General features: G+C 38.3%; 1 long non-coding RNA gene and 1 pseudogene across 5 annotated transcripts; one reads left to right on the forward strand and one right to left on the reverse strand.

Moving 5' to 3' along the window:
- Positions 1-1,849: 1,849 nt before the first annotated feature.
- Positions 1,850-9,965, reverse strand: LOC102723403 (uncharacterized). Of its 5 annotated transcripts, none has more exons than XR_001748162.1 (4): positions 8,575-9,965; positions 8,029-8,235; positions 7,272-7,355; positions 1,850-3,685 (listed from the first exon to the last, which is right to left on the reverse strand). It is a non-coding gene; the product is annotated as an uncharacterized LOC102723403 (long non-coding RNA). The 5 variants fall into 5 exon arrangements; XR_931154.3 differs by lacking the exon at positions 1,850-3,685 and adding an exon at positions 6,131-6,828; XR_428889.4 differs by lacking the exon at positions 1,850-3,685 and having other exon boundaries at positions 6,131-7,355.
- On the forward strand, positions 14,844-15,472 carry RPL12P30 (ribosomal protein L12 pseudogene 30; annotated as a pseudogene).

Genomic DNA, 24,862 nt, shown 5'->3' on the forward strand with positions numbered 1-24,862 from the left:
TGGTTGGTAGAAACAACAGGATTTGAATGGTGGGAGCACACATAAGCCAGGTTCCCAGCACAGGGAAGAAGACAGTCTACATAACAGAAGAGGAAGCTCTGCCATGAGAAAAGTGAAGTTATGGTTCGATTTGAGTTCCTTTTCCAATTTTCCCTGAGGACCATCTCCCACCTTGTTCTACTCTAGGTTAAGTGTGATGCCCTTTTAGAAATTTCCTTCTTCTTTTGCCTAAACTATTTCAAGTTGGATTTCTATCCATTTTGAACAAAGGGACCTGACTCATATACTTATGCTCTCACCCCTTGCTCATCAATCAAAGTTTACTCAACCTGTCTCCTTTCTTTTCAGTGTTCCAAGGGGTGAACAGATAATTTTACTGCTTCTAACATAGATAATAATGTATTAACCCTTAATAATCACAGTAAGCACTTATATATTGCTTTTCCATTTTCAAAATGATTTTTCAATCAGTATTTCAGTTGATCCACATAAAGATGCAGAGGAAAGGAGGGCAGATAATATCTTCCTCATTTTATGGAATAGAAAAGTTAGATCCAGATAAATTAAGTGACTTGCCCAAGTTCCCCATTATTTTTTGCCAGAGCCTGAATTTCAGACCCTTTCTCTTGTTTCCAAATCCTGCATACTTTTCCCAACACCTTCTTGCTTTCGGAAGTAACTCCAGGCTTAGACTTTTGGATATTGGTGAAGGCCAGTGAGGAAGACAGTGTGATCAAGGGGACCTTCAGAGGATCCTCAGAACTCTGGTGAAGCAGCTGTCTACTCTGCCTATAAGGAAGGGGGTACTCCTGTGGCTTATGTTCAGTGGGACCAAGGAAATAACACATGGCTAGAACAAGGATGAGGCAAGGGAAGCGCCAAGGGCAAATGATTCAAGGAGATGCTTATTTTCAGGATTGTACAAGGGCCTGCCCTGGCCCCATAACATCATTAAGGCCATAGCTGCAAAATTCAGACTTTAGAAGTGTGTGAGATTCTTCCTGAAATAAACACACATCTTCTAGGCTGACTTAGTTATAGGAAGAATGTGGGATGGAAGAATCAGAAGACCAGAAACAGGCACTGGTGGTCAACTTTACCACGCCTAGCATCTAGACATCATTGCCCAACCCCTTTGCTCAGTGCCTGCCTATATGATGGATTCACTTGACTAACCATGCTCTCAAAAAACATATTTTTTCACTCACTCCAGCCCACAAATGTCCTTAAAAGTAGATTCTGAAGTAAAAGAAAATTACAATCACATTCTGTTGGAAACCCAGTGAAAGCAAAAGAAATGCTTTAAAAAAAATCAATATTTTTAACCCTAAAGTAGATCCTAGAGATAATCTATTTCACCTTGGATTTCTGTCACTTTTGACCAAAGGGTCCCAATTACTATACCCATGCTCCTAGGCTGCTTTCATCAATCAAAACTTACTTGTCCTGTTTTCCTTTCTTTCAGTGTCTAAAGGTTTATCAGATCAGAAAATTGAAGCTGATACAACTTAAGTGGCTTTCTCAAGGTCACCCAGCTGGTTAATGAAAGGTGCTGGGTTGGAATTCAGGTCTACTGAGGCACAGTGCTCATTCCACTATACTGTGAGTCCTACACTGAGTCCTGGACTGAAACAGTTATTTCTCAGCTTTAATACCAATCATTTCACGTATGTACAGTACTTAGAAATTTTCTGAGTGCTTTGCATTTATTATTTCATTTCCAACTCACAGACATTTTGTGTGTAAATTATACCTGTGATCAAGATAAGAAAATTGAGGCACAGAAAGGTCATATGACTTATCTGAGGAAACATACTGAGGCAAAAACACAGCAGTTGTCATCCTCCACCATTGTTTATGTTTTTTTCCTGCCTATGTGACAAGCCAAACTTATCTAGAATTATTAGTTTAATATTTGTTCTCTCCTACCCTATATTAATTATTTATTGCCATATAATAAATTACCCCAAAACTGAGCAGCTTGAAAGAACAAGCACTTATTACCTCACAATTTCTATTGGTCAGGAATCCAGCTGCCACTTAGCTGGGTGCCTCTGGCTGAAGTTCTCTCATGAGGTAATAGTTAGGTGTCAGCTGGGGCTGTGGGCTCATCTGAAGGTTCAACTGAAAGATGATTCACTTCCAAACTGTTGGCAAGATTCAGCTCCTCATGGGTTAATGGGCCAAAGGCCTCAATTCTCAACTGGTTACCGGCCAGAGACCTCCCTCAGTTACCACAAGGCCTCTCCATAGGGCTGCTCACAACATGGAGGCTGATCTCCCTCAGGGTGAACATGTGAGAAAGCAAAACAGGGAAGCCCAAAGCAGAAGCCACAGTACTTTGTATAATCTAATCTTGGGAGTGACATGCCATTACTTTTGCTGTGTTCTATTTATTAGAAGCAAGTCAAAATGTCTAGCCCACAACCAAAAGAGAAGAGTTTATAAGAGTGTGATATCAGGAGACAGAAATCATTGTAGCCATTTTAGAGACTGCCTAACACATGCTCCAAATGAAAATTACACCTTCAAGATGCCTAGGGTAAAATAGAGGTAAGTTTATGATTTTTCAGTTTTTAAGGAAAAGTGTTTTTTATATTAAGCATAAAGGATTATTCATCCAAAAATCATAGCTGGATGCTTGTTTGATATTTTGAAGCCACTGTGCAAAGTGGACACATATCCCAAAGGAATAGATCTGTGATTCTGCCATCCATCTCTCCCTCTCCTCAAAGCATACTAATTTCAGTTTGATTTTTTTTTTCCATCTGAAGTGAAAGTCTTGCCTTCCAGACAAAACCAGTGAATGACACTGCCTGCATGTCAGAAATTGCAACTGACATTTCAATTTTGCTTAATTTTTTTTCTTTCTTTGATAGTATTATGGTGAAAATTTACATTTGAATAAAAAGCAAATAGTGCATGTCAGAGTAAGCATCAGGGAATGTCAAATTGTTTTTTTCCAATTACAACTCTATTTCAAATAGGGTAATGAAATTAAAGGATAATTACTAGAAGCACAAAGCCAAGGTTACGATCAGAAATGGTTACCCTTTCACTTTAAGTCCTGTCTTGCTAAATAAAATATTCCTGAGGGGGAAGTTACTGTTTGCAAATAAAATACACTCATCCAGGACCACCCAAACACTTGACAATGTTGACCAAAACACCTATTTGTGCGTAAATACAAGTGTTTAAAAGAGATGAAAGGACACTAAAGGTAAGCTGCATTTTCCTTGGCTTTATCACTCTGATTAATAATGTGATAAATTAGCTGTAGGATGCAATATTAATTAACAGTATATTAGTTGCATTTTATTGCCAATAATATAACAAGCTCTGAAATAGTAGTCAGACTAAACTGCTGACACGGGCTTTTCTGCAAACTGAGCTGTAGTTTGATTTCTCATTTGTCCAAGTGAAGCATCAGCAACTGAGTAAAACCAATTACCTCAAAGCCCACCAAGCCCTCGGCAGCAACTTAGTGCATCTAAGCTTTGCCCAAATGTTATTACTTTCAAATTAGAGGCTGGTCTGAAATGGGCCATCGAAGAATTTCTACTGCTGAAAATAATTCAATATGGCAGTCCAGTTGTGGAACACTTTTCAGGGCCAAATAGAAACAAAGCTCCTTCCAATTTTGACACATCTTGAATCCATGGCTGTCCACTTCTGGAAGGCAAGCCTGGAAGTACAGAAGTCAGATATGAAAAGGGAGGCATTTTCCTGCCTTTTATGTTTATTTTTGAGATGAAGTCCTGGGATGGAGGTGGGGGACACTTTAGGAAAAAGGACCCAAGGTCAAGGATGAAAACAAATAAAGACACTCACCTAATGGGAGTTATCTCACCTCACTAGGTAAAGAGAAACTACAGCACAAGAGTTCATCAAGTACAGAGATATGTTGTTGAGTGAACACTTGGCCAAAGGTATTAAAACAAGTAGGGCAGATGCATTATAAGTACCTGAAGAAATCTCTGTTTATATTTATTCATTTGTCTCACCCATAGACCTTCACTTGCTATACTCTTTCTTCTTTCTTTCTCTTTCTTTCTTTTCTTTCTTTCTTCTTTTTCTCTCTCTCTCTGTCACACAAACATATACAAAATCACTTTCGATCCTCTTATCTTGCTTAATATCTTTCATGGAACTTATTACTATCCAAAATTAAATTTCAGACAGTTTATCCATTCATTTACTTCTCTGTTCCTGTATTCCCACCAAACTGTACACTCCATGAGGTCAGGAGGTGTGTCTGTGCACTGCAGAATAGTGCTTGGCATGTAACAGGCACAAAATTAGTTGAATCAAAGAATGAACCCATTCACTGAACTTACATTTACAAAATGCCCAATGTCTAAGTGCGAAGGATTCAAAGATGATGATAATCATAACTACCATTCACTGAAGGAGCCCTCAATGAGCTAAAAGCTTTACATACAGTATTTTATTTGAATCCCTCAACAACCCTTTGAATCATGTGTTTCTATTTTCTTTCTTTCTTTTTTGCAAATGAAGACATAGAGGCTCACAGAGACTGACTTATTACCACCAAGCTAGAAAGAGGTAAAACTATAAATTAAACCGGGTTTGTCTGGCCCTGACTCCAGGAATTGTCATATTCAAAGATTAATAAGAGACAAACATCCTCCCTGAGAACCTCAAAGTCTCATGCTTTGGATTTGAAGCATCATTGTCTTAGAGGATCCTCCTAATATTCTGTGGCTGGAGAAAGAATCTGACAATAATTCCTGGAGAACTGGAGTTGGGACATTTGCCATCCTGGGGCCTTCAGGAATGTCCTTGTCCATGGCAGGATCTGGTATGCCATGCTACTTTCCCTTTGGTGAGGTCAGATTCTGCTGTAGAGGTTTGCCAGGGCTACCCATATTCTCATATCCTTGGCTCCAGGTCTGCATATGAGCCCAGCAGCTGTCAGGGATCCTATTTACTTTTAATAAATCTAACAAATGAATGATAAATAAGTGGTGATTCGTCTGCCTCAGAAAATCCAGCAAGGGCAGGACCCAGCCAGGTGCATGGGAAGCTAAACTCTTTTCCAGCCTTCACAACTGAATTTTAAATTGCCAACACCAAGCTCCAAAGTCAGTTCAGACCCACAAAGTTTCTATGTATTTTAGAAGTCACAGAACTACCCCTCTCTCTGGTCTCTTGGAATAAAAGAAAGTTCCTCAGCCTATTCATTCCATGAATTAAAAAAAAAAAAAAGATTAAAAAAGGTCTCCTCGGTTACAATGCCATTCATATCCTTTGACCAGAAAGAGTTAGAGAAAAACTTCGGGATTGATCTGAGGGACACAGAGCCCAGGTTCCATTAAAGTGTATTAATGCCAAGGTCTGTGCAATTAGTGAAAAGTCAATTCCCATTACTAGTTAACACTATTGAATATCTGCTTTCTTTAATAAAAAGCCATGTCCAGTACAAAGAGAATAAATCAATAGGTTGGCTGCATTTAGATCTATTCTGCCTTCTTCTAAAATGCACAGAGAAACTCCCTGTCAGAGCTCCACTGTCTGTCTGCCAAGCTCAGTTTGTAAACTGGCAGCTGGCCCTGCCTTCTTTGCCTGGAATCTTTCATTAGCACTTTCTCACTTTAGCTCTCATTTCTCTCATCAGGAAAATTAAGTTTTATCCCATGCCTAAAATTCTTCTCTTTGAGCTTAATCTCGATCTGCCTCCGAATTGGACTGGTTCAGAAAACGAGCTGCAAAGCCACTGTGGCCATACATCTAAACCTCAGCCTTCGCCAAGCATCGGTTCTTCCTCAGGCCAGGAGAGTAGGGTACACACAATTTCTAACAAGGGTCCAAAGAGTCCCAAGAGCCTGAAAGACTTTTCTCCTCCAGAGATACCCTTTGCGTTCTTTTACATCTGGTAACCTTCCTTGCTGCCAAGGAGCTGGAATGTTCCAGATCCTTAACTGTGAAGAGCAAAAGAAGGATACACCTGTCCGGTGAAGTTTGCAAGCCCTCCCAATTCTCAGCACCACATGCAGAAGAAGGATGCATTCACCTCCTGTCTGTGGAGGCTGCCTTTCTGTAGCTAAGCCCATCTATTTATCTTCTTTGGTGCGGACCACTAAAAGGAGAAAGCTGTTTAGACACTATCTTCATTATAATGCTTGGTTTATTAAAGACTAAAAGGATACTTTGATTCCCACTGTACATATAAGTTACTCATAAGTTGGAAAATTGTGTTTCCGTGAAAGCAAATTACTGTACCTTAAATTATTTCATTAACCAGAATGCTCAGTCTTTGATGGGAAAAGGAGGATTGATATAATTTTACTTTAGTTCAGGTTTACTATGCAGAATTATTTGACATTCTTCTTTAATCCTTTGGTCCTTATTCCGCATCCTCTCTCCCTTCTCAGAGTGTGTGTTTGGTGGGGTGGGTAGGTTTGGTGGTGATATTGGTTTGGGTCATGGTTTCGGTAGATGAATAGATTTGGAATTGCATTCTTTTCAGGACTCAGCAAATTGGTGTGTATCGTTCTGGGTTTTTTCAATTGGTTCAAGTCTACTATTTCTCCACTTAAGCAGGTTGAAATATCTAATGAAACAAGCACTGCTAGAACCAAATCTGTTTATTCCTGTTGCTGAGATCCTTTCATGCCACTTTCCATGGCCCCATTTCTGGTCCAGAGGCCTGGTCTGCCATTAGAGAGAATCACAAACCAGGCCCTACACTGTGAAACCAACGAATGATCCCCAGTACTGTCATGGATGTTTCTTGAAGCCACTGGAGTCGTCCACTGTGGTCGGAGAACTCAGGGAGGGAACCTTCTGCATTGCTTCCCAGAGCAGCTGTGGGGTGACAGTAACAGGCAAACAGTGGAAATGCACACCATCCTAATACAAGGGTGGAAAGTGTTCAGTTGTGAAGAGGCATTTATGTTTACACAAACAGCCAGTTTTTCCTCACATTCAAAGTTACAGAGTTGGACAAGGCAGGCTCACGAGGTGACAAAGAAAAATTTAACTAATCAGGCAGGCTATCCCCAAGTGTTCCAATGGCATGGATGATTCTGCCAAAGGGACTAACTGATGAACAGGTAGCTGGGTGAGGAGACTGCAGATCTTTGTCATCCCAAGCAGATGAAGGTTCCCCACTTGATCAGAGGCAGTGATTGAATTCCCATTTGGGGATCCCACAAAGAAATGGATTGACATTGTCAAGCAATTAATCCAAGGTGAAGTACGATTTAAAAAAATTGGGAAATGAATAAATGCAGTCCCAAGCAATCTACCTGTGTGACACTGATGCAGGAAAATTGCCTTTGAAGAGGTTGGCAGTTGTCTTTGGTCCTTTAGCAAATCCTTCCACGATAACTCTGAAATGAATAGAAGGAGCAGAATTGGATTAAACAATTTTAAATTTTACTTTCACAAAACATAAACAAGGTTTAAAATTTTGAAATTCACAGAATCGCCTCGAATGTCACAAACCTTATGAAGCACCAAGGAGCTAATCCCTCTTATCTTTAAGACTGGGATCAAGGATTTTTTTCCACTCTGTAGGAGCTCCTGAGAACCAACTTTTGCAAAAGAGTCAAGTTGCCAAGCCAGAGCTGGCAGAAGAGTTGCTCCATAAAGTGAGAACAGAATGGAATGCACTCTCACCTTTGAGTTCAAGTGCATGTTGAGATTTTTATCTGAAATGAATTCTGATTAATATCACCTTGGACTAAAGGAGAAAAACATTCAAGCATGTGTTTATACTTGTTGACATGAATAAAAGATACACCTTAAATCTGAGTCATAATACTAGAATAAAAGATGATTATGAAATGCATACCACTGATATAGTCTCACCAAGAAAGTCAACATTCAAATTCCCTAAGACATAGAGAAATTTGTTTCAATAACTTGTCCAATCACTCTTTAGCCATAAGACCAAACTATGGTCCCTACCCATACCACTTTGTTCTTTTGAGTTATTGTCTGTTTCTCACTCTAATTAATCACTTCCCAATCATATTTAAGGAGAAAAAGAAATGGACATACCTTTCAGGGATGCTTTAAAAGCTTCATTATTGTTACTGAGAGAGGACAGCAGGTTGAATTCCATGTTCTGAGGAGAACATTGCATCCATGACAATGTCACACACACACGAGAGCATGAAGCACACCCAGGTAATCAGATGGTGATGCATAGTCCTGCAATCAGCTCTCCTTATTGACCCCGAAGCCTTGCCTTCAGCCAAGTTAGATCTTTCAGTGGAAATAAGATGGAATTATTTCAAAATAAGATGGAAATAATTTGGAAGTTGGCTGGGTAAGACCTGTTGACATGGAAAAGCAGGTTTTTTCCATTTTTCCACTCTCAACTCTATACCCCCTAGATAGACACTCTTATATTTCCTATTTCACCTTCCACAATTTCTTGTCAAAGATTACTTTAAAGTGTACAAAACAATGATATCTAAAGGCTTCCCATCTCACTTAGAGTAAAAACAAAGTCTCTATAATCCCTCATCACCAGGCCACCAGCCAACCACTCACCCAATGTCTTAATTCCTTCTCCAGCCTCCTCCAGGCACACTGGCTTACCTGTGAGTCCTTGAACATTCTGGGCACATTTCTGTTTCAGGGCCTTTGCACTTGCTCTTCCCTCCATCTGGACTGCCCTTCAGTGCCTACATGGCAAAGTCAAGTCTTAATTGTCCCTCTTCGATAGAGACTTCCAGATCTATCCTATCTAAAATTTCAACCTCTCCCACCTGCCAAACAATTTCTATCCTCTTTCCTAACATATCATATAATTAACTTTTCCAATCTCATTTATTGCCTGTCTCTCCACTCGAATATAAGCTCCATGAGGACAGTATTTTATACACTGCTGTATCCTTTGTGCCTGGAACAATTCCTGGCATGTAGTAATGGCCCAATAAATACTAACTGAATGAGTGCATAAATAAATGAATGAATATCAGTGATTCACTAAACCCACCTCTCCTTCATTCACACAAAAGCCAGGTCCTTTCACAGGGCACTTCCAGCATTGCCACCATGATCTTAATTGCAAATAGTTACTAGCTGTTACCAGGCTCCAAGCATTGTATGAAACACCTTACATACACTATCTTATCTTCACAAGCAACTCCTGAGCTGAGTGTAATCATCCCCAGTTTACGATGAATAAATGATGAGCCAGAGAGATCAAGTAACCTGCCCACATTGGCTTGCTAGTATGTGGTAGAGCTCAAATGAAAGTCAAAGTTAAAGTTTGTCTAACACATGAGGTCTTAACCAGGGATGATTTTGCCCCCAAGGATGCATGTGGCAATGTCTGGAGACATTTTTTGTTGTCATAACTGAGGGTTGCTACTGAATTCTAGTGGACAGATAGCGGGGATACTGCTAAACATTACTACAATACGTACGACAGCCTCCCATAACAAAGAATTATCCTGCACAAAAGGTCAATTGTGCTGAGGTTGAGAAACCCTGGTCTAACTCCATAAACTGTTTTTAGTCCCATTGCAGTTTTGCTCGATTAGCTGCTAGCGGCAGTGCAAACTGCACCAACCCTTTTATAAAGCAGTATGACAATATTTCTTGAGAGTGTTGAATGTTTTCATACCTTTTGACTCTGCAATTCTACTTCTGTAAATCTAGCCTAAGGAAATAATCTGAAATGTGGAAAATGCCCCCAAATATTGATCATGACATTATCTGTAATACTAAAAAATTAGAAACCAGTTAATGTCTGGTAATAAAGAGATCATTAAGTAAATTCTGGAATATCCACTTGCTGGAACATTAAGCAGCCATTAAAATGATATTTATTAAGAATTCATAATAACATGAGAAAATGCTTACATAGAAATGTTAAATTTTAAAAATTGTTTTCAAAAGTATGTAAGCAGTATGACCATTAAATAACTGACAAAAATTATGCATATAAAATAAATGAAACAGAAATACATTAAAATATTAATAGTATGGTAGCACTAAGGTTGGTTAATTTCTTTCTTTTATTTTTCAGTACAGTACTTCCAAAACAATAATATAATAATAATGTAAAAAATATAGCAACAATGTATTCATTTTATACAGGAGAAAATATCATTTAAGAGATCGGGGTTTTTTCTCTTAAAAAAACGTATTTTTGTTTTAGTCTCTCTAAAACAAAAAGACTGGACCTGATGGAGTTCGAGGTTACAGTGCGCTATGATCACACCATTGCACTGCAGCCTGGGCAATCTTGGATGAGGCTTTGATAGCTAGTGTCATAACTTTTGTGGGCTGAGCCTCAAGTTTTGTTGAGATAAGAGCGTCTGGAAAGTGGGTGAAGGATGAGAACCAAGGACTGGGCAACAGAGCAAAACCCCTGTCTGTGAAAAAAAGAATAGTAAATACAGCAACTGTGGTGGTGGATTTGCCTCTTATATGGATTAATTAACTGTTTATTTCATGTTTATTATTCCTCCTAAGTAACTGTCTTTGTTACAGGAAGCGAGAAATGCTTAGTTATGTAGTAGTAGCTGGAACTAGCTCCATCTTTGCCAGTTTATAGCTATCAAAAACATGTTACTCACTCATCTTAAGTGTTATCCTAATATTTGAAAAAGGTTTGATTCTATTAGGGCAAAGAATTCTCACACTTACAACCAGGACTGCCATCAATGCAGTTGGGGTTTGGGACGCAGAGGGACACGTGAAAGGTGGGTGCCATGGTCAACCTCCTTCACATGGGCATCCAAAACAGGGAGCCACAAGTCTAGGACTAAGAGTCCTAGACTCTTAGGGCTCTGGATTCCAACAGGCCTTGGATCGAGTCACAGCTGCACACCCACCACCATGTCTTTGAGTGAAATCTTAACCCCTTTGTGTCCTCTCTGAACTCAAAGTCCATGTTTAAAACTGCTGTGAAATGTTGTTAATGCTTGCAAGACTCCTTGCTCTTTGCACACTGTGACCTGGGACCATTCACTTGCAGGAACCTGCCCCCACAACTAGCCAAGTCCTTGGTTCTCATCCTTCACCCACTTTCCAGACGCTTTTATCTCAACAAAACTTGAGGCTTAGCCCACAAAAGTTATGACACTAGCTATCAAAGCCTCATCCAAGATGTTCTATCTTTGGACTTGGTTTTAAATTAAACCTGCCTTCACCCTCTGGACTAATAGAGATAAGGTTGGCTTTCCGGTCAGCCGTGGACTGCAGGCTAGAATGAGGAAGGACCACAAAAAGCAGCTGCAGAGACAGCATCTTCACTCATTCAGACACTATTTGGGCAATGAAAGAACAGAGAACTCGGTTATTTAATTAACCCTCCGAGTCTCTGGAATGTAAACATTTTCTTTTGTAAAGCTCTGAGACCTCTCTTGTTTCCAACCAGCAGGCCTTTATTTCTGCCTCTCCTTCTGTTTCTCTGCTCTTGACCCTCTTGTAATACATTGTTGGATGACTTGTTTGCACAGAGGGACAGGCTTATTTCCCACCCCCCTCCCAAATTCTTGAGGCATTAGAAATTTTCTCCCTTATCAATTTTCCACGGACTGGCCCTCTATTCCCTAATGGTGCTGGATTGGCACACACCACAGACACCGGCTCTGAAACAAAAGAAAAAGCAAGAAGATAGAGATGCACACAGCCAGCCTCCCTGTCTATTCCCAGTGTGTCCCACTGACAATGCTGTGTGGAAGGGAAATTGTTCTATCAGCGACTGTGTTAGATTCATGACCCCACCACAACCTTGAATTGGCCTTTAGTTGTCGCTGATGGGAACTGAAGAACAGCGCCTGTCGACATGATTGCTACTCTCCAATGAATCAGAACATACAGGGCGAGGAGCAGCACATTAAAGTAGCAACAGAAATATATCACTGTACTTTTATATAGATGTATTGCTTTTGCCCAGGCATATAAATGATTGGGCCAGCCACTTAATTTTTTTCAGGGACTATAAATTAAAAATAAGCTAAGGGTTTTAAAATTATGTTCTTTTTTAAAAACCAAGGTAGCTATTTTAAGGCAACAGTCAAATATTTAAAGATCATCTTATGTGGATATTTCAGCGACTGTCATTGGGAGGAAAATCAGCCCTTGCCGCCTGCACTCCGGTTACTTAACACATGGGCGCTGATTTATCATGGGTTGTCATTTGCTAATTGATCTTTTTTTAAAAGTAAATGTTCCCCATGTTTACTTCTCTGCCTGCTTACTGAAGAAAGTATAGTTCACAGATTTAAGTTGTGATTTAAATAGACAGCAAACATATTTACCAGCCTAGAGCAAGATGCTGGAAGAGTCAAGGTGTTCAGAGAAAGCTGAGAGCAGGGATCAATGATTCTGAAATTGGGAGGTGATAGGGCCCCATTGAGAATAGGCTGGAGCTCATGGAACCTCTCTCCAGGAGCACACGTGAATGCTTGCACTTCACAGCAAAATTTTTCCTTTTGCTTCAAGGACTCACAAACTCTCTGAAGCCCCTCCCTGGAGCCCCTGTTTTTGAGGTTATCTTGTAAAACTATAAATTTGTGACACACTGGGATGCGGTGATCAGCTGTGATGTATGTCTCAAGTAACTGCTTACTAATAACAGGTCAAATATAGCTGTTTGCAAATGATTTGCTTTTAGAAGTATACACATCTGAGAAGATTCAAAGGTTTACCAATAACAGCATTACTCTCACGTAGTCACCATAGCCAATAAGACCTACATGATCTAGCCCCTGCCTATCTCCCTGATATTACCTCTCACCACTTTTCTCCTCACTCTACAAGATTCAGTCACATGGCCTCCTTTCTGATTTTCAGCCCACTGAGTTACTTCCTGCCTTGGGGTATCTGCAGTGCTGGGCAATGTTCTAGGCACAGACCGAACAAGACCACAAGATCTGTCTTTTGTGGATCTTACATTCTGTGGAGGGAAACAGCCAATAGGCATATGATCAAATCCCTAAGTTTGATCATTTCAAGTGTTTTGAAGCAATTAAAATGGAATGAGGAGGGGCTAGAGTGTGACCGATGCATGGCCAGGTAAGGCCTCTTTGGAGAGATTGTAGCTGAGATTTTAACTGAGATGGAGAAGTGAGAAATAGCTGCAAGTCAAAGGGAAATATTTGTGGGCAAATCCAGTAGTAAGTGCAAATACCCTGAGGCTAGAAAGAACTTGGTGGGTTGAAAGGTCATCAAGTAGGTCATTTGACATCTGATATGCTCTCTCAGGGAGAAAATTAAATTATCCATGCTGCTGCCCAAATGATTGATATGCTATGAGCAGTGATGGTGACTACAAATTAAGTGTTTTTTTCTCTGCAATAATTTTGACTTTTTGTCAAATACTTGATATGCAAATTGAAGTCATTTAAGACCTAATTAGAGATGGGGGGAGCAGGAAGTCCAGAGAGGTAAGGTAGTTTACCCAAGGTCACACAGCTTTGTTATTAAATTAGTTTAGTGGACAGACCAAAGGAAAGCCCTGGCCTCTGCATTTGCAGGGTGGTATCCTTGCAACACTTTGCCTCCCTATTATTTTCATGTAATTTAACAAAGATCATTTTGTCTTGAAAACTAGTCTGGTGTCTGGTTCCATATGCTGTTATGGTCCAGAGACACACTATCATTACACGGTTTTCAGCTTTTACAAAGTTTTGTTAAATATCTAGCTCAGGATTCCTGATTTCTCCAGAGGTTGATGAAGCCAGTGGTGAGCTAAAAATCTCTCACCTCTAAAGAAAACCAAGTATCACTGTCTCCTCTGGGCTGAACATTGAGATCTGTGAGACTCTAATAAGTTCTGGGTCCTTACCTGCCTCTGGTGGAGCCTGTGGTTAGGACAGATAGACTCCTAGCTTTGTATGCCTATGTCAAGAAGGCTAACATTGGCACCCCCCATACCACTTTCCATGCGTCCCAGTGGCCCCCAAACAACAAGTGAATTGATAGCAGTCTTGATTTTAACTAAGTGTAGGAAGTCTTTGATCTGATGGAACCAATGTTTCTAAAATATTAGAAAAAAAATTGGAGACGAGTGAGTGAAATATTTTCAGTAGCTGTAAATTGGCAAAGACTGAGCTAATTCCAGCCACCAATACATAGCTAATCAACACTGTACTAGAACTGAACACTGTTGTTAAAAAATTCCAAGAAAGAGTGTGGCCCAGATTGATATCAAAATACCCTTTTAGTTAAAAAGTTTAGAAAAATGAACTCAGCCACTTCTGCACTACCTCTGACAAAATCTATATTCACAGTCCTCTCTTTCGACATCTGAAATCTATCTTCTCTCCAGCTAGTTTCTCTCTCTTTTCTTATACTGCTGGTGAGAATATAAATTAGTCATTCCTTCAGGAGTACAATTTGGCTAGTGGGTGTCAAGAAACTCTACAAACTGTGTAGTCATTGACTCAACAATTATATTTTTGAGATTTGATCATAAGGAAACAGAGATACTTGTAAGTTTTATACTGCAAGATTTATATGGCAAGATAGTCACAACAGTATTATATATGATAGTGAAATATTGCAAATTATCAAAAAGAGATTGGAATCTCCCAAAATGTGTTCTGCAGAAACAAATTTCATAAGATGCTCCCCCCCCAACACACACACACAGGACTGTGTGATCAAATAAATTTAGGACATACATACTATATATTTTGAGAAATCACAAGGCATATTAGCAAGAATCCTCTCAGAATTCTTACAAAAAAAGAAATCTATTATGTGACCTCATTTAACTCAGAGCTTCTCAAATTCCTTTGGTCACTGAATCCCTTTATTACATAATACTTCTTAATATACTACAGAAAAGAGGCTCTGCAATATATACTTCAGGAAATACTGAGTTAAATAAATTTACATATCTGCTTTCAGCTTTTGTCTCGAAGGAGGCCAAGGTGTAACTTTCTTCGGTCGTCCTGAATCCAGGTTCATCTGACACCAGCGGCCTCCACCATGCCACCGAAGTTCAACCCCAGCAAGATTAAAGTCGTATGCCTGACGTGCACCAGGGATAAATGTGGTGCCATGTCTGGGCTGACACTCAAGATTGGCCATCCTGGGTCTGTGTCCAAAAAAACTTGGTAATGACATTGCCAAGGCAATCGGTGACTGGAAGGATCTGAGGATTACAGTGAAACTGACCATTCGGTACAGACAGACCCAGAATGAGGTGGTACCTTCTGCCACGGCCATGATCATAAAAGTCCTCAAGGAACCACCAAGAGATAGAAAAAAACAGAAAAGCACTAAACACAGTGGAAATATCACTTTTGATGAGATTGTCCACATTGCTGGACAGATGTGGCACTGATCTTTCGCCAGATAACTCTCTGGAACCATTAAAGAGATCCTGGGGACTGTCGAGTCTATGGGCTGTGATATTGATGGCCACCACCCTCATGACGTCATAGATGATGTCAACAGTGGTGCGGTGGAATACCAAGCTAGTTAAGAAGCACAAAGAAAAATATTTCAATAAAGGATCATTTCACAATTAAAATAAAAAAATAAATAAATTTACATATCTGTATATGGAATGCTTTGCTGCTGTTTAAAACAATATTAAAGAATTTTGATTCTATGGGATAAATGCTGGTGATATTAAGTGGGGAAAAAAGCAGGTTACATACGAATGAATATTTTATTAGCATAATTTTGGAAACTAATGTATGTGTGATTATGTCAAAATAAGAACAGATTTGATCTTGTGGTGACGGCATTAGTGATGTTTGTTTTTAAAAAATTGTGCTTCTAAATTTTCCCAATTTGCTATAATTAATAAGCATTACTTTTATAAGGAAACATACTATATATTTTAAACTTTTTATCTTAAAATAATTTTAGAGTTGCAGAAAAGGTAAACAAAATAGTAGTTTTCATATGCATTTTCCTCAGCTTCCCCTTGTATTAACATCTTGCAAAACCACAGTACAATTATTGAAAGCAAGTAATTAGCATTTTATATGGTTTGACTGTGTCCCCACCCAAATCTCATATTGAATTGTAGTTCCCATAATCCACACATGCTGTGGGAGGGAGCCAGTGGGAAGTGATTGGATTATGGAGGCAGTTTCCCCCATGCTGTTCTCATGGTAGTGAGTGAGTTCTCATTAAATCTGATGGTTTTATAAGTGTCTGGCATTTCCCTTGCTTGTACTTCTGCTTCCTGCTGCCTTGTGAAGAAGATCCCTTTCTTCCCCTTTGCCTTCCACCATGATTGTAAGTTTCCTGAGGTCTCCCCAGCCATGCTGAACTGTGAGTTAATTAAACCTCTTTCCTTTATAAATTGCCCAGCCTCAGGTATTTCCTTATAGCAATGTGAGAATGGACTAATACAGCATTGATGGGATATTCATTTGAATTTCACCAATTCTCCCACTAATGTCTTTTTTTCTGGTTCAGGATCCAGTCCAGTGTCCCACATTGTACTTAGTCATGTCTCCTTAGTCTCCTACAGTCTGTGGCAGTTTCTGTTTTTCATTTTCTTTAATGGCCTAGACACTTTTTAAAGAGTTCTGGCTAGTTATTTGTAGAATGTTCCTCAATTTGAATTTGTCTGATATGTTCTCAGGTTAGATTCAGGCATTTTTGACATTTTGGGGAAAATGTCAAGAAGTCACGGTGTGTTTTTCTAGGTGCATCATATCTGGACTACATGATGTCAATATATTTCATTACTGGTCTTATTAACTTTGATCACTTAATAAATGTCCCATGGGAAGATATTTTGAAGCTATTCCTGTTTCTCATCACACTTTTTGTAGCCTACTAATTTTGGTATCCATTAATAATTCTTGTCTGCCAAAGTTATCACTGTTCTATTTTCCTAATGGTGGTTTTCTATTTTCATCATTCTTTCCACATTGATCTATTGGACATCTACTGTAAGGAATATTTATTTATTCAAATATTTTATGTAGGTGTGAACTAATGGTTGTTTATTTTATTCATGAGTTTTGATTTTTTTACTTAAACCATCCCAGATTTGGCCATCAGAACCCCTTCAGATTCATTCTTGCTTGTAACATGTCCCCATCCTTTTTTTGAGCACTTCTTTCCTTTCTGGCACACAAGATATTATAAGTCATCTTGTACTTTCCCTTTCTCAGCCCTGTAATCAAATATTTATCCAGGGAGTTCTGGTTCCTTTTATTGGAAAAACCAATATCTAGGCACTAAGTGTGCTCTTTGCTACTAGGGTATCATTGTTCTAGGCCTTCTCAGTGGACAGGGCTAGAAAATAGACAATGTGTACTCACACACATTCACACGGAAGCATCTTTGTTTTTATGTTTTTTTAATATATTTTATCTCTTTATTTTATATCTATTTTTATAGATTTTTATACTATCTATTATATATCTCTATAAATCCATCTTTTATCTATCTGTCAGTGTTTTTCAGAGAAACAATCAATAGGAAATATGTATCTATATATATAGAATCAGCAACAAAGATATATCTATATATAGAATCAGTAGGAATTATATATTTATATATAGATATAAATAATATATAGATATAGATAATATATACAATCTATTATAATATATAATCTATATAACTACATATATCTATGTATATAGATATATATTATATATAGATATCTATATCTATATAGATATAGATAATTTTGTGAGCCAATTCCTTATAACATATATATATATATAATATAATAAACCTCTCTCTATATCTATAGATATAGAGAGAGATTTATTATATGGAATCGGCTCACACAATTTATGGAGACTAAGAAGTTCTACAACCTGTTGTCTGTAGGAAAGCCAGTGGTGTAGTTCTAATCTGAGTCCCAAAGCCTAAGAGCCAGGAGAACCGATGATATAAGTCCAAGTGCAAGGGAAGACTGATATCCTGGTCAGGGAAAGAGAGATAATTCTCTCTTCTGTTACCATTTGGTCTATTCAAGCCTCCAAAAGATTCAGTGAGGCCCACCTACACTGGGGAGTGCAATCTGTGTTACTTAGTGCACCAATTCAAATGTTAATGTCATCCAGAAACACTTACAAATGTATGCTAAATAATTTTTAATCAAATATCTGGGCACCCTGTGGCCCTGTCAAGCCAACACATAAAATTAACCATTATTCTATCTATCTGTCTATCTATCTATCTATCATCTATCTATCTATCTATCTATCTGTCTATCTATCTATCTATCTAATTTGTCTACGTGATCTATCTAGAACCATGATTTTATGCTGATCCCTCTAATTTCAATTAAACTACAATGTTCATTCTAGCCTTTTCCATTGTCTTACTTGTAACCATTTCTCTGATAGTGAGGGACCTGGTATTCATTATCCACAATATATTTGCTTATTTGTTCAATCCTGGAGCATACATGAAGTGTTTCAGGATTGCTAGCCTTTACCTCTGTGGAAAAAAACAAAAACAAAAAACTTAATTTGCCAACTTGAATACAATTTTTTTGTAGAATTCGTTTCATTTTTAGCCTAATAATACACAGTCAAAATATTGTTTGACAAAGTTACTTAGGTTAGTTCTTTTCTTCTCCTTTCCTTTGGTGTAATTATATTATTAATTTGTCATATATTGGGATCATGTTTATTGTTTGTATTTCATTGGGAATCTCCTCACATCTTGGTTGATTTTAACTTTTTAAATTTGTTCTGGGGATATGCTAAATATACTAAGAGTCAGAGCTAGACACTAAAAATGATATACTCAGAGAAGAGTCATTTTCCATCATCTTTGCTACCCCATACCCAGTGCCCCATTCTTTCCACCCTGTTCCCACCCAGCACCTTTCAGTAACTATTGCCGGTAGTGTCTAGTTTATCCTTCCTGTATTTCTTTTTCACAACTTAGCAGATCCCAATATATTTTCTGATATCTCTGTCTTTCTTACATGAAGGTTAGCATGCTATAAATACACTTTATGCTTTGTTTTTTTGATGTAACAGGATATATAAAAATCAACTGTTTTTTTACAGTTACATGGTACTCTACTGAGTGAATGAGCCATAGTTTATTCAACCAAAACCACTCTCCTATCTGACCATTTTCCTTCCTAATATTTTGCAATTACAACCAATGCTGAAATGAATAACCTTTCATGTATGTATTTCCATAGTACTGAACATATATTTTCAGTGTAGGTTCCTAGAACTGGAATTCCTGGGTCAAAAGTAAGTGTGTATGTAGTTTTGTCAAGCATTGCCAAATTATCACCAAGGATGGTTGTGCCAGTTTGCATCCTCATCAGCAGTGCAGAAGAATGCTTGTTTCTCTACAGTCTTGCCAACAGAATATATTGTCTGCTTGTTAATTTTCACCAATATAATAGGTGAGAAAAGTTACGTAAGTTAAGTATTGGTTTAATTTGCATTTATCTAATAATGATTGGTGATCTGAACTTTTTTTGTATATCTAAGGGCTATTTTCTATATTTTTGTGTGAACTGTCTGTTCATGTCTTTTTTTTTTTTCATTTTCTTAGCATGCTTTTGGTCCTTTAACCCTCAATTTTCAAGAGTTCTTTATGTAGTAAGTAGATCAATTTTTGTCTGTGTTATATGTCACAAATATTTCACCCCTAGTTTTGGTTATCTTTTGGTCTTTTTAATATGGTGTTTGTTGTCCTGCAAACTTTTTCTCTATTTTTATGTGATCAAATTGATTAAACTTTTCTTTTGCCTATAAATTTTATGTATATTTTTAAACATGTGCCTGTTCCATCCCTGAAAGTCTTAGGCATTACTGCAGCACAAAAGAGAGGAAGAGCTTACTCTAGGAGATTTTAAACCAGAGAGAGTAGGGAAGTCGAAAACCCCAGGGCTCTGAAGTCAGGTGGATTCCATTCCCACCTACTTTCAGTGACTTCTATTGAGCTGTGGGACCTCTGGCGAAGTATTTAACCTCCCGGAGCCTGGTTTTTCTCATTTGTAAAATGAGATGATAGAACCTACCTTGCACTGCTATGAGGATTTGAAATGCTTGTTTCAATACATGGCACTAAGGAGACATGTTATTATTATTATTATATTCATAATACATCAAATGCCAAGTAATATTTTAATGAAAACCTTGATAGGTGTCTGATTTTTTTTTCTCAACATTGTCTCATCAAGGCACCACCACTTCCATAAGAACAATGAATCTGAGAGATTTTCACCCATTCACCACAATTGTTCTTTTTTCTCTCTGAAATACTTTGTCTTTTGAAATACTATCATGTCTCTGTTCTATAATGAATTCAGAGAAAAGTTATGAGGATAAAGGAGTTAACATCCATAACGCACGCTGAGCTGGCAGATAAGAGCATCAAAATGAGTTCCAGAAAGAATTCTAATTAACTAAATTTATTATCACCTTATCTCTCCAAAGCCCCTTCTTGCCCCCAACCTCAAGTTGAAAGTTTTGTGGTCATTCCCCAAAGGACACATACTCCTTCGAACCAGGAATCAGCTGGCACTGGTTATTGTCGGTACCACAAAAGTACTCACTAGAATTCCTGTTGCCAAATGTGTTCTTCCTTTAACAGGCAATTCCTTTTCAGTTTCCCTGTGAAACTAAACAGAAGCCCATAGGGAAGTCTGATGTCACCTTTGATGTCAATACCATTCAAAGCAAACACAACCAAGACTATTTCCTTAATCTTTGGCAGCTACTTCTTCTAAATTATTTGAACATGATGAAGTTCCCATCTACCAATAAGTTAATCAGGTGGGTGTGTACCTTGATAGAGTACAGATGTCTTGCAGGACAGAAAGAATATCTAAGGGTCCATGGATAGGAATATATATATTTTTTATATAGTTAACTGACGTTTGTTTTTCTCATTGCTTTATCCCCAGTGGAGTGATTTGGAAATAGTTGTTTTTCTACCTTTTGCAATTCCTCAGAGCTTCAGGGCACATGCAAACGGATGGGGAGGGAAAAGACAGGAAGGGAAAAAGGAAAAGCAGCTAATTTGGATTGCAATTCTGTAATCTATGCGCTACACTAGCTACTTAGAGACTGCATTATTATTATTATTATTATTGACATAGTCTTCCTCTGTCACACAGGCTGGGGTGCAGTGGCATGATCACAGTTCAGGGTAATCTTGAAATCCTGGGCTCCAGTGATCCTCCCACCTCAGCCTCCCGAGGAGCTGGGACTACAGGTACATGCACTACCAAGCCCGGCTAATTTTTAAATTTTTTGTAGAGATGGGGATCTCTCCATTTCCCCAGGGTGGTCCCAAACTCCTGGCCTCAAGTGATCCTCCTGCCTCAGCCTCCCAAAGTGTTGAGATTACAGGCCTGAACCCCAGAGCTTTATTATTTTAGTGGCTCTCAGTCAAGGGGATGCCACCTCCAAATGGCATTTTGAAAATTTGTGGAACCACTTTTTTGTTGTGATAAAAATGGAAGAGTACTGCTGCCATTTATGGGGTGGTGTATTATATAATAAAAATAAATATTTTGCTTTTTGTCCCCTTTTCTGGCACATAGCTTCTAAAACTCAGTCTCCTGAGTGATAATTATCTTTTGTATGCTAATGAGATATTTCTTGGGGTGAAGAGCCAGAGCTAGATAGCTTCAGGATGGGAGCTGGTCACCACAAAGACAAAACCATGATTAGAGGGCTGGAACTTTCAGCTTACTCCCAACCTGCTGCACCAGCCCTCTCTAACCTCTGGGAAAGAGAGAGAAACTAAGAGATTTGAGTTCAATCACCAATAGTCAGTGATTTAATCAATCATGTCTACGTTATAAAACCTCCAAGGAAGTCTGAACAACAGGGTTTGGAGAGCTTCCTGGTTGGTGGACACATCAATGTGCCAGGAGGGAGGTGTGCCAGGCCAGAGAGAGCATGAAAGCTCTGCCCCTCCCTCTCTCCCACCCCAAACCTTGCCCTACACATCTCTTCCATTTGGCTGTTTCTGAATGTATCCTTTATAATAAACTTGTAATAGGAAGTATAGTACTTTCCTGACTTCTACAAGTTGTTCTAGTGAATTTTGAAGGGTGGAAACCCCTCTATTTGTAGTTGGTTGAACAGACGTCTGGGTAGCTCGGGCACCCCATTTGCAGCTGGCATCTGAAGTGGGACAATTTTGTGGGACTAAGTCCTTAACCTGTGGCATCTGCACTAATTCCAGACAGTGTCAGAATTGAATTGAATTGTTGGACACCCAGCTGGTGTTGGAAAAAACTATACAAGTGGGAACCAAAAATGCATTATGCTCTATAACCTGCAATGCCTGGAACAGCTCTGCATGAGGAAGAATTATCCTGCATACTACATGAATTTCAAAGGGCCCACTGGAACAGCTTTGGAGGTAAAAACTTGTTTGCGACTATCTAGGCCTAGAACCTGCGTTCATTTTACTTACGAAGTATTTTTTGCATAGTTTTTACATTCACAGTTTTTACATACATATAACTTTCTAGGAATGCAACTATGATGTAAGCTGAAGGAAGACCGCACTTTATTTTGTGCTCTGTGATACTTGAGTGTTAATACTACATACCTGTGCTGGTCTGCATTTGTACCTGTCACATATATGGTGAAAAATGTAGGTGCAAAATCACATCACTTAGTTATATCATCTAGTGTAGTTGTGCCTCAGCATTTAAACTTTATTTCATTATAAATTTCTTTTATATCTTTATGTCACATGTGGGCATTATATGGATTTTTTATTATGTGTGTATGTAGGTTACATAATTTATGAATTTTCTGTCAAGATAGCAAAGGAGGTATTTGCAAAATATTTGCAATAAAATTATTACAGCATCTGTTCCAAAAGGGTTGAGACTCACTGTATTCTTTCATCAACTGAACACAACAATTTTGAGAAGATCTCTTATTAGCCCCATCTTGTAGGTGCAGGAACTCTAGCTCAAATGGTTAACTCTCTTGCCCAAAGCCACACAGCCAGTAAGTGGCAAAGCCAGGAGTCAAACTCTTTCTGTTTCCAAAGCCCTGAACTTGGTGAAAACAAGAGGACAAAAGACAGAGGGATGAATTAAGGCATAAGGATAGAGGAAGAAAGAGGAGAAAGGGAAAAAAGAGGAACAGTATGAGAACAGGAAAAAGATACAAATCAATTTTTGTTTCAATTTTTAAACTCTATAGAGTACTTTAAATATATTAAAAAGCTCTCATTAATAATGTTGTATGATGCCTGCTATATACAGGGTATATTAATGCTGAGGATAGAAAAATAATTTTTTAAGAATATGACAAAATCCTATCCCTGAGAAATCGGAAGCTGAGTTGGGACGGTAGAATACATTCTTTTTAAAATAAATAAATGAATACACAATATCAGCCAAGATACATTACGTGCAAAAGGAGAGAGGTAACATCATCTATTCATCTAAATGTATCTAGTTTCTAGATAGCCTTTCCCTTCTCATGCCATAGACAAGAAACAGGGAGCTAAATGGTTATGTGCTCAATGGAAATGTTATGTGACTAGCACATACATTTTTCCCTCCTAAGTAATATTGATTCCTGAAACCATGGTTGATTCTGGCTTTATAAGACACAATTTAACACCAGTTTTTCCATTCCACAGTTAAAGCCTTGAGGATGCAAGGACTTTTACTGGAAGAAAATACAACAGCCCCAAAAGTGCGGATCAGTCAATTTGCCAGTAAATGCATATCGTGTTTTGTGCCATGTCCAAATGTTGTAGCTATTACAGGGCACGTGACTGGCTTACTTCCTGATCCTATGCAAAGCTACTGGTTTTCTCACTCCTCACTAGTCCCTAGAACTTATTGTAAGGGGAACTGGAATCTCTTTGTCCAAGTGGGTTTTTTTTGTTTGTTTGTTTCAAGGACTCACAGGCAGAGGCAGATTTCTGTGAAGACAATGAAGCTCAAGATTAAGGGCCTCTTATTTACACAGGTCCCTCCTGAGGCCTAGGGAGAAGGCCAACAATAAGTTCACATGGTCACCAGTTTTAATAGCATTTCAAAAGTAAGATATTGTCACTACAACTGGTTAAGGCTATTGTCTCTTTCCACTTGGGTTCCCCCTCCTTCACATGCCCTTTTGTTTCAGAGGGCAATGGAGCAGCCATGGGTATTTTCATCTCTAGCTAGGGAGAACTTGAGATGAAGATACATTTAGTTTGAGTGTAGTAAGATATATCTTTGTGGTTTGCATTCACTTCGGTACACAGTTAAGTAGGTTTAGCTGTCCTGGGGTAAAAATGTCTTCCAGGAATATTTCTTTCCTTGACTGGCTGGCTCACCCATCTTCAACTGTGTCATGAAGATACAAGACCAGCAGCTGTGTGAACTACCAGTGTCATATAGTGCCTGGCATCTGATGCTTATGACTAGTGTAGAGAAGCAAGGTGTGAAATGTTTAGAGCCAGAAGTTGGTCTATGGAAAATTCTTCCAAATCTTAGAGCTCACATATAAAAGAAACATGTAGAGGCTTGCACGAATTTGACAACAATCCTAAAAATTTATTGATATTACTCATCACAACTGGTGTAGCTAAAAAAACTTTTCTAACCTACCAAAATAAAAAAACAAATTCTGATGATAAAGACAAGACTGAATTATCTCTTTATTTTTGCTTTAGAAAATAATACTACAAAATGATTGTTAAATAAGAGTTGATTCAAAAAATGTAGGAAATAAAAATAATAAAGAGATTAGACAATTAATAAAATTATGTTATTTTTCTGACTTTTGTGATGTCTGGATTATTGTTAGCTTTTTAAAATCTATACTTTATTATGTTTTTCTATTCAAAATAAAATTACTTTTGCACCTAACTTTGTAATTACTTTTATATTAGTTGTCTTAAAGAGAGCCTCTCAAATTGTATAAATGTTGGGTCTCATAAAACTTGAATTCATCCCTGTTCATGAGGCCTGCGTTAGCTA

The sequence above is a fragment of the Homo sapiens genome, chromosome 11, assembly GCF_000001405.40.
Source record: "Homo sapiens chromosome 11, GRCh38.p14 Primary Assembly".
NCBI lineage: Eukaryota > Metazoa > Chordata > Mammalia > Primates > Hominidae > Homo > Homo sapiens.